At 41.4% G+C, this 18,700-nt stretch overlaps 1 protein-coding gene across 2 annotated transcripts in view, besides 3 other annotated features; it reads left to right on the top strand.

Moving 5' to 3' along the window:
• ANKRD30BL (ankyrin repeat domain 30B like) overlaps nucleotides 1-18,700 on the top strand; it is a 110,443-nt gene that overhangs the window by 28,827 nt on the left and 62,916 nt on the right. The gene's annotated exons all lie outside the window — the stretch shown is intronic.
• Nucleotides 2,015-2,625: an enhancer, noted in NCBI's record as "OCT4-NANOG hESC enhancer chr2:132984155-132984765 (GRCh37/hg19 assembly coordinates)". NCBI's record gives its function as "activates a minimal SCP1, AML or CMV promoter by ChIP-STARR-seq in naive H9 embryonic stem cells {active_cell/tissue: H9 hESC(naive)}" and the evidence as "EXISTENCE:reporter gene assay evidence [ECO:0000049][PMID:30033119]".
• Nucleotides 5,558-6,106: an enhancer, noted in NCBI's record as "OCT4 hESC enhancer chr2:132980674-132981222 (GRCh37/hg19 assembly coordinates)". NCBI's record gives its function as "activates a minimal SCP1, AML or CMV promoter by ChIP-STARR-seq in naive H9 embryonic stem cells {active_cell/tissue: H9 hESC(naive)}" and the evidence as "EXISTENCE:reporter gene assay evidence [ECO:0000049][PMID:30033119]".
• Nucleotides 14,782-15,283: an enhancer, noted in NCBI's record as "NANOG hESC enhancer chr2:132971497-132971998 (GRCh37/hg19 assembly coordinates)". NCBI's record gives its function as "activates a minimal SCP1, AML or CMV promoter by ChIP-STARR-seq in naive H9 embryonic stem cells {active_cell/tissue: H9 hESC(naive)}" and the evidence as "EXISTENCE:reporter gene assay evidence [ECO:0000049][PMID:30033119]".

Raw genomic sequence — 18,700 nt, 5'->3', positions numbered from 1 at the left:
AAAACTGGTCCTTCAAAGGAATGGTCAAATCTGGGGGTTGAATGCACACATCACAAAGTAGTTTCTCAGAATTCTTCTATGTACTTTTTACATGAAGATATTTCATTTTTCACCATAGGCCTGAACGCCCTTCAAATGTCCACTTAGAGATTATACAAAAAGGGAGCTTTAAAACTGCTCTATCAAAAGAAAGGTTTCAATCCGTTAGATGAATGCACACATCACAAAGATGTTTCTAAAAATGCTTCTATCTATTTTTTATGTGAAGATAATTCCTTTTCCACCATAGGCCTCAAAGCCTTCAAAATGTCCACTTGCAGATTCTACAAAAAGAGAGTTTCCAAAGTGCTCAGTCAAAAGAAAGGTTTACTCTGTGAGATGAATCCACACACCACAAAGAAGTTTTTCAGATTGCTTTTATCTAGATTTTATGTGAAGATATTTCCTTTTCTACCATAGGCCACAAAGCACTCCAAATGTCCGCTTGCAGATTCTACAAAAAGAGTGCTTCCAAACTCTCAATCAAAAGAAAGGTTCAGCTCTGTGAGATGTAAGCACACATCACAAAGAAATTTCTCAGAATTTTTCTGTCTAGTTTCTATGTGAAAATATTTACTTTTCCACCATAGGCCTCAAAGCGCTCCAAATGTCCACTTGCAGATTTTACGATAAGAGAGTTTCAAGACAGCTCAATCAAAAGAAAGTTTTAACTCTGTGAGATGAATGCACACATCACAAAGAAGTTTCTCAGATTCATTCTATCTAGATTTTATGGTAATATATTTCCTTTTCTAACATAGGTTGCAAAGCGCTCCAAATGTCCACTTGCAGATTCCACAAAAAGAGTGTTTCCAAACTGCTTAATCAAAAGAAAGGTTCAACTCTGTGAGATAAACGCATGCATCCAAAGAAGCTTCTCCGAATTCTTCTGTGTCGTTTTGATGTGAAAATATTTCCTTTTCCTCCACAGGCCTCAAAGCGCTCCAAATGTTAACTTGCAGATTCTACAAAAAGAGAGATTCAAAACTGCTCAATCAAAACAAAGGCTTAACTCTGTGAGATCAGTGCACACATCACAAAGTTTCTAAGAATGCTTCTGTCTAGTTTCTATGTGAAGATATTTCCTTTTCCACCATAAGCCTAAAAGTGCTCCAAATGTCCACTTCCCCATTCAACAAAAAGACAGTTTCAAAACTGCTCAATCAAAAGTAAGAGTTAACCCTGTGAGATGAATGCACACATCCCAAGGAAGTTTCTCACATTGCTTCTGTCTAGATTTTATGTGAGGATATTTCCTTTTCTAACTTAGGCTGCAAAGCGCTTCAAATGCCCACTTACAGAATCTACAAAAAGAGTGCTTCCACTTGCAGAATCTCCAAAAAGAGTGTTTCCAAACTGCTGAATCAAAAGAAAGTTTCAGCTATTTGAGTTGAAGGCACACATCACAAAGAAGATTCTGAGAATACTTCTGTCTAGTTTTTATGTGAAGATATTTCCTTTTCCACTATAGGCCCAAAAGCGCTACAAATGTCCACTAGCGGATTCTACAAAAAGAGTGTTTCAGAACTTCCCAATCAAAAGAAAGTTTTAACTCTGTGAGTTGAATGTACACATCAAAAAGAAGTTTCTGAGAATGCTGCTGTCTAGATTTTATGTGAAGGTATTCCCGTTTCCAAGGAGGGTCTCAAGGGGTACCTAATATCCACTTGCAGATTCTACTAAAGGAGTGTTTCAAAACGACTCTATGATAAGGTATGTCCCACTGTGTGAGTTGAAGGCAAACATCAAAAAGAAGTTTCTGAGAATGCTTCTCTCTAGTTTAGATGGGAAGATATTTCCTTTTCCACTATAGGCCTCAAAGTGTTCCAAGTGTCCACTTGCAGATTCTACAAAAAGAATGTTTCAAAACTGTTCTATCAAAAGAAAGTTTCAACTCTGTGAAGTGAATGCACACATTACAAGCAAGTTTCTGAGAATGCTTCTGTCTAGTATTTATGTGAAGATATTCCCGTTTCCAACGAAGGCCTCAAAGCAGTCAAATATCCACTAGCATATTCTACAAAAAGAGTGTTTCAAAACTGCCCCATGAAAATGAATATTCAACTCTGTGAGTAGAATGCAAACATCACAAAGAATTTTCTGAGAATGCTTCTGCCTAGTTTTTATATGAAGATATTTCCTTTCCCACCATAGGCCTCAAAGCACTCCAAATGTCCACTTACAGATTCTACAAAAAGAGTGTTTCAAACCTGCTCTATCAAAACAAAGGTTTAACTCTGTGAGTTGAATGCAAACATCACAAAGAAGTTTCTGAGAATGCTTCTGTCTAGATTTTATGTGAAGATATTTCCTTTTCTAACTTAGGCTGCAAAGCGCTTTACATGTCCACTTACAGAATCTACAAAAAGAGTTTTTCCATAATTCTCAATCAAAAGAAAGGTTCAACTCTGTGAGATGAACGCACACATCACAAAGAAGTTTCTCAGGATTCTTCTGTCTAGTTTTTATGTGAAGATATTTCCTTTTCCACCATAGGCCTCAAAGCACACCAAATGTCCACTTGCAGATTCTACAAAAAAAGAGGTTCAAAACTGCTCAATCAAAAGAAAGGTTTAACTCTGTGAGATGAAAACACACATCACAAAGAGGTTTCTCACATTGGTTCTGTCTAGATTTTATGTGAAGATATTTCCTTTTATAACATAGGTCGCAAAGTGCTCCTAATGCCCACTTGCAGATTCTACAAAAAGAGTGTCTGTAAACTGCTCAATCAAAAGGAAGTTTCAACTCTGTGAGAAGAATGCACACATCACAAAGAAGTTTCTCAGAATTCCTCTGTCTAGTTTTTATGTGAAGATATTTCCTTTTCCACCATAGGCCTCAAAGCGCTCCAAGAATCCACTTGCAGATTCTACAAAAAGAGTGTGTCAAACCTGTTCTATCAAAAGAAAGGTTCAACTCTGTGAATTGAATGCACACATCACCAAGAAGTTTCAGAAAATGCTTCTGTCTAGTTTTTATGAGAAGATATTCCCGTTTCCAACGAAGGCCTCTAAGCGGTCAAAATATCCCCTTGCAGATTCCACTAAAAGAGTGTTTCATAACTGCTCTATGATAAAGTATGTCCAACCCTGTGAGTTGAATGCAGACATCACAAATAAGTTTTTGAAAATGCTTCTGTCTAGTTTTTATGTGAAGATACTTCCTTTTCCAACATAGGCCTCAAAGGGCTCCAAATGTCCACTTGCAGATTCTGCAAAAAGAGTGTTTCAAACCTTCTCTATCAAAAGAAAGGTTCAACTCTGTGAGTTGAATGCACACATCACTATCACAAAGAAGTTTCTGAGAATGCTACTGTCTAGTTTTTATGTGAAGATATTTCCTTTTCCACCGTACGCCTCAAAGCACTCCAACTGTCCACTTGCAGATTCTACAAAAAGAGTGTTTGAAACCTGCTCTATCAAAAGAAAGGTTCAATTCTGTGAGGTGAATGCACACAGCCAAAGAAGTTTCGGAAAAAACTTCTATCTAGTGTTTATGTGAAGATATTCCCATTTCCAACGAATGCCTCAACGCGTTCCAAATATCCACTTGTAGACTCTACAAAAAGAGTGTTTCAAAACTGTTCTATCAAAAGAAAGTTTCAACTCTGTGAGTTGAATGTACACATCACAAGAAGTTTCTGAGGATGCTGCTGTCTAGTTTTTATGTGAAGATATTCCCATTTCCAATGAAGCCTTCAAAGCAATCCAAATATTCACTTGCAGATTCCACTAAAAGAGTGTTTCAAAACTGCTCTATCATAAGGTATGTTCAACTCCGTGAGTTTAAGGCAAACATCACAAAGAAGTTTCTGAGAATGCTTCTCTCTAGTTTTTATGGGAAGATATTTGTTTTTCCACCATAGGCCTCAAAGCTCTCCAAATGTCCACTTGCAGATTCTACAAAAAAAGTGTTTCAAACCTGCTCTATCAAAAGAAAGGATCAACTCTGTGAGCTGAATGCACACAGAACAAAGAAGTTTCGGAGAAAGCTTCTGTCTAGTGATTATGTGAAGATATTCCCGTTTCCAACGAAGGCCTCAAAGCGGTCCAAATATCCACTTGCAGATTCTACTAAAAGAGTGTTTCAAAACTGCTCTATTATTAAGAATGTTCAAGTCTCTGAGTTGAATGCAAACAGCACACAGAAGTTTCTAAGAATGCTTCTGTCTAGTTTTTATGTGAAGATATTTCCTTTTCCACCATAGGCCTCAAAACACTCCAAATGTCCACTTCCAGATTCTGCAAAGAGTGTTTCAAACCTGCTCTATGAAAAGCAAGGTTCAACTCTGTGATTTTAATTCACACAGCACAAAGAAGTTTCAGAGAACCCTTGTCTAGTGATTATGTGAAGATATTCCCATTTCCATCGAATGCCTCAAAGCGGTCAAAATATCCCCTTCAGATTCTACTAAAGGAGTGTATCAAAAGTGATCTATGAAAAGGAAGTTTCTACTCTGTGAATTGAATGCAAATACCAAAAAGAAGTTTCTGAGAGTGCTTCTGTCTAGTTTTTAAGTGAAGATACTTCCTTTTCCACCATAGGCCACAAAGCTCTCAAAATGTCCATTTGGAGATTCTACAAAATGAGTGTTTCAAACCTGCTCTATCAAAAGAAAGTTCAGCTCTGTGAGTTGAATGCACACATCACAAAGAAGTTTCTGAGAATGCCTCTGTCCAGTACTTATGTGAAGATATTCCCGTTTCCAACAAAGGCCTCAAAGCGGTCCAAATATCCACTTGCAGATTCTACAAAGAGTGTTTCAAAAGGCTCTATGAAATGGTATGTTCAACTCTGTGAGTGGAATGCGAACATCACAAAGAAGATTCTGAGAATTCTTCTGTCTCATTTTTATATAAAGATATTTCCTTTTCCACAATAGGCCTCAAAGATCTCCAAATGTCCACTTGCAGATTCTACAAAAAGAGTATTTCAATCCTGCTCTATCAAAAGAAAGGTTCATCTCTGTGAGTTGAATGCACACATCACAAAGAAGTTTCTGAGAATGCTTCTATCTAGTGTTTATGTGAATATCTTCCCGCTTCCAACGAAGGCCTCAAAACAGCACAAATATCCTCTTGCCGATTCTAAAAAAAGAGAGTTTCAACCCTGCCCTATCAAAAGAAAGGTTCAACTCTGTGCGTTGAATGTACACATCACAAAGAAGTTTCTGAGAATGCTCCTGTCTAGTTTTTATGTGAAGATATTCTCGTTTCCAACGAAGGCCTCAAAGCGTTCCAAATATCCACTTGCAGATTCTACTAAAGAGTGTTTCAAAACTGCTCTATGATAAAGTATTTTCAACTCTGTGAGTTGAAGGCAAACATAGCAAATGACTTTCTGAGAATGCTTCTGTCTAGTTTTTATGGGAAGATATTTCCTTTTCCACTGTAGGCCTGAAAGCCCTCCAAATGTCCACTTGCAGATTCTGCAAAAAGAGTGTTTCAAACCTGCTCTATCAAAAGAAAGCTTCAAGTCTGTGAGTTGAATGTACACATCACAAGGAAGTTTCTGAGAATGCTTCTGTCTAGTGTTTATGTGAAGATATAACCGATTCCAACGAAGGCCTCAAAGCTCTCCAAATTTCCACTTGCAGTTTCTGCAAAAAGAGTGTTTCAAAACTGCTCAATGAAATGTTATGTTCAACTCTGTGAGTTGAATACAAATATCACAAAGAAGTTTCTGAGAATCCTTCTGTCTAGTTTCTATGGGAAGATATTTCCTTTTCCACCTTGGGCCTCAAAGCGCTCCAAATGTCCACTTGCAGATTCTACAAAAAGAGTGTTTCAAACCTGCTCTCTCAAAAGAAAGTTTCAACTCTGTGAGTTGAAGGCACACATCACAAAGAAGTTTGTGAGAATGCTTCTGTCTAGTGTTTATGTGAATATATTTCCGTTTCAAACGAAGGCCTCAAAGCAGTAAAAATATCCACTTGAAAATTCTCCAAAAGACTGTTTCAAAACTGCTCTATCAAAAGAAAGGTTCAACTCTGTGAGTTGAATGTACACATCGCAAAGAAGTTAATGAGAATGCTGCTGTCTAATTTTTATGTAAATATATTCCCGTTTCCAACGAAGGCCTCAAAGCGGTCCAAATATCCACTTACAGTTTCTACTAAAAGAGTGTTTCAAAACTGCTTTATCATAAGGTATGTTCAACTCTGTGAGTTGAATGCAAACATCAGAAAGAAGTTTCTGAGAATACTTCTGTCTAGTTTTTATGTGAACATATTTCCTTTTCCACCATAGGCCTCAAAGTGCTCCAAAAGTTCACTTACGGATTCTACAAAAACAGTGTTTCTTTTTTTTTTTTTTTTTTTTTTTTTTTTTTTTATTGATCATTCTTGGCTGTTTCTCACAGAAGGGGATTTGGCAGGGTCATAGGACAATAGTGGAGGGAAGGTCAGCAGATAAACAAGTGAACAAAGGTCTCTGGTTTTCCTAGGCAGAGGACCCTGCGGCCTTCCGCAATGTTTGTGTCCCTGGGTACTTAAGATTAGGGAGTGGTGATGACTCTTAATGAGCATGCTGCCTTCAAGCATCTGTTTAACAAAGCACATCTTGGACCGCCCTTAATCCATTTAACACTGAGTGGACACAGCACATGTTTCAGAGAGCACAGGGTTGGGGGTAAGGTCACAGATCAACAGGATCCCAAGGCAGAAGAATTTTTCCCAGTACAGAACAAAATGAAAAGTCTCCCATGTCTACTTCTATCCACACAGACCCGGCAACCATCCGATTTCTCAATTTTTTCCCCAACCTTCCCGCCTTTCTATTCCACAAAACCGCCATTGTCATCATGGCCCATCCCCAGTGAGCCGCTGGGCACACCTCCCAGACGGGGTCATGGCCGGGCAGAGGGGCTCCTCACTTCCCAGTAGGGGCGGCCGGGCAGAAGCGCCCCTCACCTCCCGGATGGGGCGGCTGGCCGGGCGGGGGGCTGACCCCCCCACCACCCTCCCGGACGGGGCGGCTGGCCAGGCAGAGGGGCTCCTCACTTCCCAGTAGGGGTGGCCGGGCAGAGGCGCCCCTCACCTCCCAGATAGGGCGGCTGGCCGGGTGGGGGGCTGACCCCCCGACCTCCCTCCCGGACGGGGCGGCTGGCCGACCCCCCCCCCCGCCTCCCTCCCGGACAGGGTGGCTGGCCGGGCAGAGGGGCTCCTCACTTCCCAGTAGGGGCGGCCAGGCAGAGGCGCCCCTCACCTCCCGGACGGGGCGGCTGGCCAGGCGGGGGGCTGATCCCCCCACCTCCCTCCCAGACGGGGCGGCTGGCTGGGCAGGGGGCTGACTCCCCCTCCCCCCTCCCGGACGGGGCGGCTGGCCGGGCGGGGGGCTGACCCCCCCACCTCCCTCCCGGACGGGGCGGCTGGCCGGGCAGAGGGGCTCCTCACTTCCCAGTAGGGGCGGCCGGGCAGAGGCGCCCCTCACCTCCCGGACGGGGCGGCTGGCCAGGCAGGGGGCTGATCCCCCCACCTCCCTCCCGGACGGGGCGGCTGGCCGGGCGGGGGGCTGAACCCCCCACCTCCCTCCCGGACTGGGCGGCTGGCCGGGCGGGGGGCTGATCCCCCCACCTCCCTCCCAGACTGGGCGGCTGGCCGGGCGGGGGGCTGACCCCCCCACCTCCCTCCCGGACGGGGTGGCTGGCCAGGCAGAGGGGCTCCTCACTTCCCAGTAGGGGCGGCCAGGCAGAGGCGCCCCTCACCTCCCGGACGGGGTGGCTGGCCAGGCGGGGGGCTGATCCCCCCACCTCCCTCCCGGACGGGGCGGCTGGCCGGGCAGGGGGCTGACCCCCCCTCCCCCCTCCCGGACTGGGCGGCTGGCCGGGCGGGGGGCTGACCCCCCCACCTCCCTCCTGGACGGGGCGACTGGCCGGGCAGAGGGGCTCCTCACTTCCCAGTAGGGGCGGCCGGGCAGAGGAGCCCCTCACCTCCCGGACGGGGCGGCTGGCCGGGCGGGGGGCTGACCCCCCCCCACCTCCCTCGCGGATGGGGTGGCTGCCGGGCGGAGATGCTCCTCACTTCCCAGACGGGGTGGCTGCTGGACGGAGGGGCTCCTCACTTCTCAGACGGGGCGGTTGCCAGGCAGAGGGTTTCCTCACTTCTCAGACGGGGCGGCCGGGCAGAGGCGCTCCTCACATCCCAGACAGGGCGGCGGGGCAGAGGTGCTCCCCACCTCTCAGACGATGGGCGGCCGGGCAGAGACGCTCCTCACTTCCTAGATGGGATGGCGGCCGGGAAGAGGAGCTCCTCGCTTCCTAGATGGGATGGCGGCCGGGCAGAGGCTCCTGACTTTCCAGACTGGGCAGCCAGGCAGAGGAGCTCCTCATATCCCAGACGATGGGCGGCCAGGCAGAGACGCTCCTCACTTCCCAGACGGGGTGGCGGCCGGGCAGAGGCTGCAATCTCGGCTCTTTGGGAGGTCAAGGCAGGCGGCTGGGAGGTGGAGGTTGTAGCGAGCCGAGATCACGCCACTGCACTCCAGCCTTGGCCCCATTGAGCACTGAGTGAACGAGACTCCGTCTGCAATCCCGGCACCTCGGGAGGCCGAGGCTGGCGGATCACTCGCGGTTAGGAGCTGGAGACCGGCCTGGCCAACACAGCGAAACCCCGTCTCCACCAAAAAAAAACGAAAACCAGTCAGGCGTGGCGACGCGCGCCTGCAATCACAGGCACTCGGCAGGCTGAGGCAGGAGAATCAGGCAGGGAGGTTGCAGTGAGCCGAGATCGCAGCAGTACAGTCCAGCTTTGGCTCGGCATCAGAGGGAGACCGTGGAAGGAGACCGTGGGGAGAGGGAGAGGGAGAGGGAGAGGGACAGGGAGAGGGAGAGGGAGAGGGACAGGGAGAGGGAGAGGGAGAGGGACAGGGAGAGGGAGAGGGAGAGGCCAAAAACAGTGTTTCAAACCTGCTCTGTCAAAAGAAAGGTTCAACACTGTGAGTTGAATGCACACAACACAAAGAAGTTTCTGAGAATGCTTCTACCTAATTTTTATATAAGGATATTCCCATTTCCAACGAAGGCCACTAAATGGTCAAAATATCCACTTGTAGATTCTACTAAAAGAGTGTATCAAAACTGCTCTATGATAAAGTATGTCCAACTCTGTGAGTTGAATGCAAACATCACAAAGAAGTTTCTGAGAATGCTTCTGTCTAGTTTTTATCTGAAGATGTTTCCTTTTCCACCATAGGCCTCAAGGCGCTCCAAATGTCCACTTGCAGATTCTGCAAAAAGAGTGTTTCAAACCTTCTCTATCAAAAGAAAGGTTCAACTCTGTGAGTTGAATGCACACATCACAAAGAAGTTTCTGAGAATAATTCTGTCTAGTGTTTATGTGACGATATTCCAGTTTCCAATGAAGTCCTCAAAGCGCTTCAAATATCCACATGCAGATTCTACAGAAAGAGTGTTTCAAAACTGCTCTATCAAAAAAAAGGTTCAACTCTGTCAGTTGAATACAAACATCAAAAAGAAGCCTCTGAGAATGCTTCTGCCTAGTTTTTATGTGAAGATATTTCCTTTCCCACCTTAGGCCTCAAAGCTCTCCAAATTTCCACTTGAAGATTCTACAAAATGATGGTTTCAAAACTGCTCTATGATAAGGTATGTTCAACTCTGTCAGTTGAAGGCAAACATCACAAGATGTTTCTGAGAATTATTCTCTCTAGTTTTTATTGGAAGATATTTCCTTTTCCACCGTAGGGCTTAAAGCCCTCCAAATGTCCACTTGCAGATTATACAAAAAGAGTGTTTCAAACCTGCTCTATCTAAAGAAAGCTTCAAATCTGTGAGTTGAATGCACACAGCACAAAGAAGTTTCTGAGAAAGCTTCTGTCTAGTGATTACGTGAAGATATTCCTGTTTCCAGCGAAGGCTGGTAAGCAGTCCAAATATCCACTTGCAGATCCTGTGAAAAGAGTGTCTCAAAACTGCTCTATGATACAGTATGTCCAAATCTGTGAGTTGAAAGCAAACATCACAAAGAAGTTTCTGAGAATGCTTCTGTCTAGTTTTTATGTGAAGATACTCCCCTTTCCACCATAGGCCTCAAGGCACTCCAAATGTCCACTTGCAGATTCTGCAACAAGAGTGTTTCAACCTACTCTATCAAAAGAAAGGTTCAACTCTGTGAGTTGAATGCACACAGCACAAAGAAGTTTCTGAGAATGCTTCTGTCTGGTGTTTATGTGAAGATATTCCCGTTTCCAACGAAGGCCTCAAAGCGGTCCAAATGTCCATTTGCAGATTCCACAAAAAGAGTGTTTAAAATCAGCTCTATCAAAAGAAAGGTTTAACTCTGTTAGTTGAATGTACGCATCACAAAGAAGTTTTTGAGAATGCTGCTGTCTAATTTTTATGTGAAGATATTCCCATTTCCAATGAAGGCCTGAAAGCGTTCAAAATATCCACTTCCAGATTTTACTAAAAGAGTGTTTCAAAACTGCTCTATGATAAGGTATGTTCAACTCTGTGAGTTGAAGGCAAACATCACAAAGAAGTTTCTGAGAATGCTTCTGTCTAGTTTTTATGTGAATATAATTCCTTTTCTACCATAGGCCCCAAGGCGCTCCAAATGTCCACTTGGAGATTCTGCAAAAAGAGTGTTTCAAACCTGCTCTATCAAAAGAAATTATCAACTCTGTGAGTTGAATGCACACATCACAAAGAAGTTTCTGAGAATTTTTCTGTCTGGTTTTTATATAAAGATATTACCTTTTCCACCATAGGCCTCAAAGCTCTCTAAATATCTGCTCTCAGATTCTACAAAAAGAGTGTTTGAAAGCTGCTCTATGATAAGGTATGTTCAACTCTGTGAGTTGAATGCACACCTCAAAAAGAAGTTTCTGGGAATGCTTCTGTCTAGTGTTTATGTGAAGATATTCCCATTTCCAAAGAAGGCCTCAAAGCAGACCAAATATCCAATTGCAAATTCTACAAAAAGAGTGTTTCAAAGCTGCTGTATCAAAAGAAACGTTCAACTCTGTGAGTTGAATGCACACATCACAAAAAAGTTTCTGAGAATGCTTCTGTCTAGAGTTTATGTGAAGATATACCCGTTTCCAATGAAGACCTCAAACTGGTCCAAATATCCACATGCAGATTCTACAAAAAGAGGGTTTCTAAACTGCTCTATCAAAAGAAAGTTTCAACACTGTGAGTTGAATGCACACATCATAAAAAAGTTTCTGAGAATGCTTCTGTCTAGAGTTTATGTGAAGATATACCCGTTTCCAACGAAGACCTCAAACTGGTCCAAATATCCACATGCAGATTCTACAAAAAGAGGGTTTCTAAACTGCTTTATCAAAAGAAAGGTTCAACTCTGTGAGTTGAATGCACACATCACAAAAAAGTTTCTGAGAATGCTTCTGTCTAGAGTTTATGTGAAGATATACCCGTTTCCAATGAAGACCTCAAACTGGTTGAAATATCCACATGCAGATTCTACAAAAAGGGGGTTCTTAAACTGCTCTATAAAAAGAAAGGTTCAACTCTGTGACATGAATGTACACATCACAAAGTAGTTTCTGAGAAAACTTCTATCTAGTGATTATCTGAAGATATTCCGACTTCCAACGAATGCCTCAAAGCGGTCCGAATATCCACTTGCAGATTCTACTAAAAGAGTGTGTCAAAACTGCTCTATGATAAAGTATCTTCAACTCTGTGAGTTGAATGCGAACATCACAAAGAAGTTTCTGAAAATGATTCTGTCTATATTTTATGTGAGGACATTTCCTTTTCAACCATAGGTCTCAAATCTCTCCAAATGTCCACTTGCAGATTCTACAAAAACAGTGTTTCAAAACTGCTCTATCAAAAGAAAGGTTCAATTCTGTGAGGTGAATGCACACAGCACAAAGAAGTTTCTGAGAAAACTTCTCTCTAGAGATTATGTGAAGATATTCCCTTTTCCAACAAAAGCCTCAAAGTGGTCCAAATATCCACTCACAGATTCTACTAAAAGAGTGTTTCAAAACTGCTCTATGATAAAGTGTGTCCAACTCTGTGAGTGGAATGCTGACATCACAAAGAAGTTTCTGAGAATGCTTCTGTCTAGTTTTTATGTGAAGATATTTCCTTTTCCACCATAGGTCTCAAAGAGCTTCAAATGTCCACTTGCAGATTCGTCAAAAAGAGTGTTTCAAACCTGCCCTATCAAAAGAAAGGTTCAACTCTGTGAGTTGAATTCACACATCACAAAGAAGTTTCTGAGAATGCTTCTGTCTAGTGATTATGTGAAGATATCCCATTTCCAACGAATGCCTCGAAGCAGTCCAAATATGCAGTTGCAGATTCTACAAGAAGAGTGTTTCAAAACTGCTCTATCAAAAGAAAGGTTCAACTCTGTGAGTTGAATGTACACATCACAAAGAAGTTTCTGAGAATGCTTCTCTCTAGTTTTTATGTGAAGATGTACCCGATTCCAATGAAGGCCTCAATGCTTCTGTATAGGTTTTATGTGAAGATATTTCCTTTTCTACCACAGGCCTCAAGGCGCTCCAAAGGTCCACATGCAGATCCTACAAAAATAATGTTTCAAAGGTGCTCAATCAAAAGAAATGTTCAACTCTGTGAGATGACTGCACACATCACGAAGAAGTTTCTCAGAATGCTTCTGTATAGATCTTAAGTGAAGATATTTCCTTTTCCACCATAGGCCTCAAAGCGAACAAAATGTCCACTTGCAGATTCTACAAAAAGAGTGTTTCCAAACTGCTCAACCAAAAGTAAGATTCAACTCTGTGGGTTGAATGAAAACATCACAAAGAAGTTTCTCAGGATGCTTCTGTCTAGCTCTTATGTGAAGATATTTCCTTTTCCACCGTAGGCCTAAAAGTGCTCCAAATATCAACTTGCAGATTCTACAAAAAGAGAGTTTCAAGACTGCTCAATCAAAAGTAAGTTTCAATTCCCTGAGATGAATGCACACATCACAAAGAAGTTTGTCAGAATTCTTCTGTCTACTATTTAAGTGAAGATACTTCCTTTTCCACCATATGCCACAAAGTGCTCCAAATATCCACTTGCAGATTCTACAAAAAGAGTGTTTCAAAACTGCTCAATCAAAAGAAAGTTCAACTCTGTGAGATGAATGCCCACATCACAAAGAAATTTCTCTATGAAGATATTTCCTTTTCCACCATAGGCCTCAAAGTGTTCCAAATGTCCACTTGCAGATTCTACAAAAAGAGTGTTTCAAAGCTGCTCAATCAAAAGAAAGGTTCAACTCTGTGAGATTAATGCATACATCACAAAAAACTTTCTCAGAATGCTTCTGTCTAGTTATTATGTGAAGATATTTCATTTTTCACCTTAGGCCTCAAATCACTCCAAATGTCCACTTGCAGATGTTACAGAAAGAGTGTTTGAAAACTACACAATCGAAGGAAAGGTTCAACTCTCTGAGATGAATGCACACATCACAAAGAATTTGTCAGAATGCTTCTGTCTAATATTTATGTGAAGATATTTCCTTTTCCACCATAGGCCTCAAAGCACTCAAAATGTCCACTTGCAGATGCTACAAAAGGAGAGCTTCCAAACTGCTCACTCAAAAGAATTGATCAACTCTGTGAGATGAATGCATACATCACAAAGTAATTTGTCAGAATGCTTCTGTCTAATTTTTATGTGAACATATTTCCTTTTCCACTGTAGGCCTCAAACCACACAAAATGTCCATTTGCAGATAGCACCAAAAGGGTTTTTCAGAACTGCTTAATCAAAAGTAAGGTTCAACTCTGTGAGATGAATGCACATATCACAAATAGGTTTGTCAGAATGCTTCTACCTAGTTTTTTTTGTGAAGATATATCCTTTTCCACCTCAGGCCTCAAAGAGCTCCGCATGTCCCCTTACAGATTCTACAAAAAGAGTGTTTCCAAACTGCTCAATCAAAAGAAATGTTCAACTCTGTGAGATGAATGCACACATCACAAAGATGTTTCTCAGAATGCTTCTGTCTAGTGCTTATGTGAAGATGTTTCCTTTTCCACCATAGGCCTCAAAGCGCTCCAAATGTCCACTTGCAGATTCTGCAAAAAGAGTGTCTCAAAACTGCTCAATGAAAACAAAGGTTCAACTCTCTGTGATGAATACATACATCACAAAGAATTTTCTCAGGATGATTATATCTAGTTTTTATGGGAAGATATTTCTTTTTCCACCATAGGCCACACAGCTCTCCAAATGTCCACTTGCAGATTCTACAAAAAGAGTGATTCAAACCTGCTCAATACAAAGAAATGTTCAACTCTGTGAGATGAATGCACACATCACAAAGAAGTTGCTCAGAAAGCTTCTGTCTAGTTTTTATGTGAAGATATTTCCTTTTCACCATAGGCCTCAAAGCACTCCAAATGTCCACTTGCAGATCAACAAAAAGAGAGTTTCCAAACTATTCAATCAAAAGAAAGGTTCAGCTCTGTGAGATGAATGCACACATCGCAAAGAAAGTTGTCAGAATGTTTCTGTCTAGTTTTTATGTGAAGATATTTCCTTTTCCACCATATGCCTCAAAGCACTCCAAATGTCCACTTGCAGATAGTACAAAAAGGGTGTTTCAAAAATGCTTAATCAAAAGGAAGGTTCAACTCCATGATATGAATGCACATATCACAAAGTAGTTTGACAGAATGCTTCTGTCTTTTTTTTGTGTGAAGATATTTCCTTTTTGACCATAGACCTCAAAGAGCTCCAAATGTTCACTTGCAGAATCTACAAAAAGAGTGTTTCCAAACTTCTGAATCAAAAGAAAGGTTCAACTCTGTGAGACGAATGCACAGATCACAAACAAGTTTCTCAGAATGCCTCTGTCTAGTTTTTATGTAAAGATATTTCCTTTTCCAACATAGGCCTCAAAGCTCTCTAAATATCCACTTGCCGATTCTACAAAAAGAGTGTTTCAAAACTGCTCAATTAAAAGGAAGGTTCAATTCTGTGACATGAATACACCAATCGCAAAGAAATTTGTCAGAATGTTTCTGTATAGTTTTTATGTGAAGATATTTCCTTTTCCACCATAGGTCTCAAAGTGCTCCAAATATCCACTTGCAGATTCTACAAAAAGAGTGTTTCAAAGCTGCTCAATCAAAAGAAATGTTCAACTCTATGAGATGAATGCACACATCACAAAGTAGTTTCACAGAATGCTTCTGTCTAGTTTTTAAGTGAATATATTTCGTTATTGACCATCACCCTCAAAGTACTCCAAATGTCCATTTACAGATTCTACAAAAAGAGTGTTTCAAAGCTGCTTAATCAAAAGAAATGTTCAACTATGTGAGATGAATGCACACATCAGAAAGAATTTTCTAAGAAAGATTCTGTCTAGTTTTTATGGGAAGTTACTTCCTTTTCCACCATAGGCTTCAAAGCCCTCCAAATGTCCATTGCAGATTCTACAAAAACAGTGTTTCAAAACTGCTCAATGAAAAGAAATGTTCAACTCTGTGAGATGAATGCACACATCACAAAGAAGTTTCACAGAATGCTTCTGTCTAGTTTTTATGTGAAGGTATTTCCTTTTCCACCGTAGGACAGAAAGAGCTCAAAATGTTCACTTGCAGAGTCTAAAAAAGAGTTTTTCAAAGCTGCTCAATCAAAAGTATGGTTCAACTCTGTAAGATAAATGCACACAACACAAAGAAGTTTCTCAGAATGCTTCCGCCTAGTTGTTAAGTGAAGATATTTCCTTCTCCACCATATGCCTCAAAGCACACCAAATGTCCCTTGCGGGTTCTACAAAAAGAGTGTTTCAAAATTGCTCAGTCAAAAGAAAGGTTCAACTCTGTGAGTTGAATGCACACATCACAAAGAAGCTTGTGAGAATGTTTCTGTATAGTATTTATGTGAAGATAATTCCTTTTCCACCATAGGCCTCAAATCGCTCCAAATGTCCACTTGCAGAGTGTTTCAAAGCTGCTCAATCTAAGGAGAAGTTCAACTCTGTGTGATGAATGCACGCATCACAAAGAAGTTTCTCAGAATGCTTTTGTCTAGTTATAATGAGAAGATTTTTTTTTCCACCATAGGCCTCAAAGACCTCCAAATGTCCACTTGCTGCTCCTATAAAAAGAGGGTTTCAAAACTGCTCAATTGAAAGTTATGTTAAACTCTGTGAGATGAATGCATACATCATGAAGAAGTTTCTCAGAATTCTTCTTTCTAGTTTTTATATGAAGATATTTCGTTTTCCACCACAGGCTGCAAATCGCTCCAAATGTCCAATTGCAGATTCTACAAAACGATTGTTTCAAAACTGTTCAATCAAAAGAAAGTTACAACTCTGTGAGATGAATTCACACATCACAAAGGAGTTTGTCAGAATGCTTCTGTCTAGTTTTTATGTGAGGACATTTCCTTTTCCACCATAGGCTACAAAGAGCTCCAAATGTCCACTTGCAGAGTCTACAAAAAGAGTTTTTCAAAGATGCTCAAAGAAAAGAAAGGTTCAACTCTGTGAAATGAATGCACCCATCACAAAGAAGTTTCTCAGAATTATTCTGTCTAGTACTTAAGTGAAGATTGTTTTCCCCCATAGGCCTCAAAGCACTCCAATTGTCCACTAGCAGATTCTACAAAAAGAGAGTTTCCAAGTTGCTCAATCAAAAGAAAGATTCAACACTGTCAGATGAATGGACACATCACAAAGAAGTTTCTCAGAATGTTTCTGAACAGTTTTTATGTGAAGAAATTTCCATTTCCACCATAGTCCACAAAGTGCTCCAAATGTCCACTTGGAGATTCTACAAAAAGAGTGTGTCAAAACTGCTCAATCAAAAGAAAGTTTCAACTCTGTGAGATGCATGCACATATCACAAAGAACTTTCTCAGAATGCTTCTGTCTAATTATAATAGGAAAATATTTTGTTTTCTGCCTTAGGCCTCAAAGCTCTCCAAATGTCCACTTGCAGACCCTTTTCCACCATAGGCCTCAAAGAGCTTCAAATATCCACCTGCAGATTCTGCAAAAAGAATATTTGAAAGCAGCTAAATAAAAAAAAAATGTTCAACACTGTGAGATGAATGCACACATCACAAAGGAGCTTCTCAAAATGCCTCTGTCTAGTTTTTATGTGAAGATATTTCCTTTTCCACCATAGGCTGCCAAGCGTTAAAAATATCCACTTGCAGATTCTACAAAAAGAGTGTTTCCAAACTGCTCAATCTAAAGCATGTTTGAACTCTGTGAGATGAATGCACACATCACAAAGAAGTTTGTCGGAATGATTCTGTCTAGTTTTTATGTGAAGATATTTCCTTTTCCACCTTAGGCCACAAAGCGCACTAAATGTCCACTTGCAGATTCTACAAAAAGAGTGTTTCAAAACTGCTCAATGAAAAGAAAGGTTCAACTCTGTGAGATGAATGCACACATCACAAAGAAGTTTCAGAGAATGCTTCTGTGTAGTTTTTATGTGAAGATATTTCCTTTTCCACCATAGGCCCCAAAGAGCTCCAAATGTCCACTTGCAGATTCTACAAGAAGAGGGTTTCAAAACTGCTCAATCAAAAGTAAAGTTCAACTCTGTGAGATGAATGCACACATCAAAAAGAAGTTTCTCACAATGCGTCTGTCTAGTTGTTATGTGAAGATATTTCTTTTTCCACCACTGGCCTCAGAGCACTCCAAATATCCTTTTGCAGATTCTACAAAAAGAGTGTTTAAAAACTGCTCAATCAAAGGTAAGGTTCAACTCTGTGAGATGAATGCATATATCACACAGAAGTTTCTCAGAATGCTTCTGTCTACTTTTTACGTGAAAATATTTCCTTTTCCACCAGAAGACTCAAAGCGCTCAAAATAACCACTGGCAGATTATACATAAAGAGTGTTTCAAAACTGCTCAATCAAAAGAAAGGTTCAACTCTGTGAGATGAATGCACACACCCCAAAGAAGTTTCTCAGAATGCTTCTGTCTAGTTTTTATGTGAAGGTATTTCCTTTTCCACCATAGGCCTCAAAGCGCTTCAAATATCCACTTGCAGATTCTGCAAAAAGAATATTTGAAAGCAGCTAAATCAAAAGAAATGTTAAGCACTGTGAGATGAATGCACACATCACAAAGGAGCTTCTCAAAATGCCTCTGTCTAGTTTTTATGTGAAGATATTTCCTTTTCCACCATAGGCTGTCAAGTGTTAAAAATATCCACTTGCAGATTCCACAAAAAGAGTGTTTCAAAACTTCTCAATCAAAAGAAAGGTTCAACTCTGTGAGATGAATGCACACATCACAAAGAAGTTTCTCAGAATGCTTCTGTGTAGTTTTTAGGTGAAGATATTTCCCTTTCCACCATAGGCCCCAAAGGGCTCCAAATATCCACTTGCAGATACTACAAAAAGTGTTTTTCAAAACTGCTGAATCCAAAGAAATGTTCAACTTTGTGAGATGAATGCACACATCAGAAAGAAATTACACAGACTGCTTCTGTGTTGTTTTTAGGTGAAGATATTTCAGTTTCCACCATAGGTCTTGAAGCCCTCCAAATATCCACTTGCTCATTCCACAAAAAGTGTGCTTCAAATCTGCTCAATCAAAAGAAAGTTTCAATTCTGTGAGATGAATGCACACATCACAAAGTAGTTTCTCAGAATGCTTCTGTCCAGTTTTTATGTGAAGATATTTCTTTCTCCACCATAGACCTTAAGGCG

Source organism: Homo sapiens, chromosome 2, assembly GCF_000001405.40.
Source record: "Homo sapiens chromosome 2, GRCh38.p14 Primary Assembly".
NCBI lineage: Eukaryota > Metazoa > Chordata > Mammalia > Primates > Hominidae > Homo > Homo sapiens.
The sequence above is the reverse complement of the archived record's forward strand: the minus strand, read 5'-3'. Positions and strand labels throughout refer to the sequence as shown.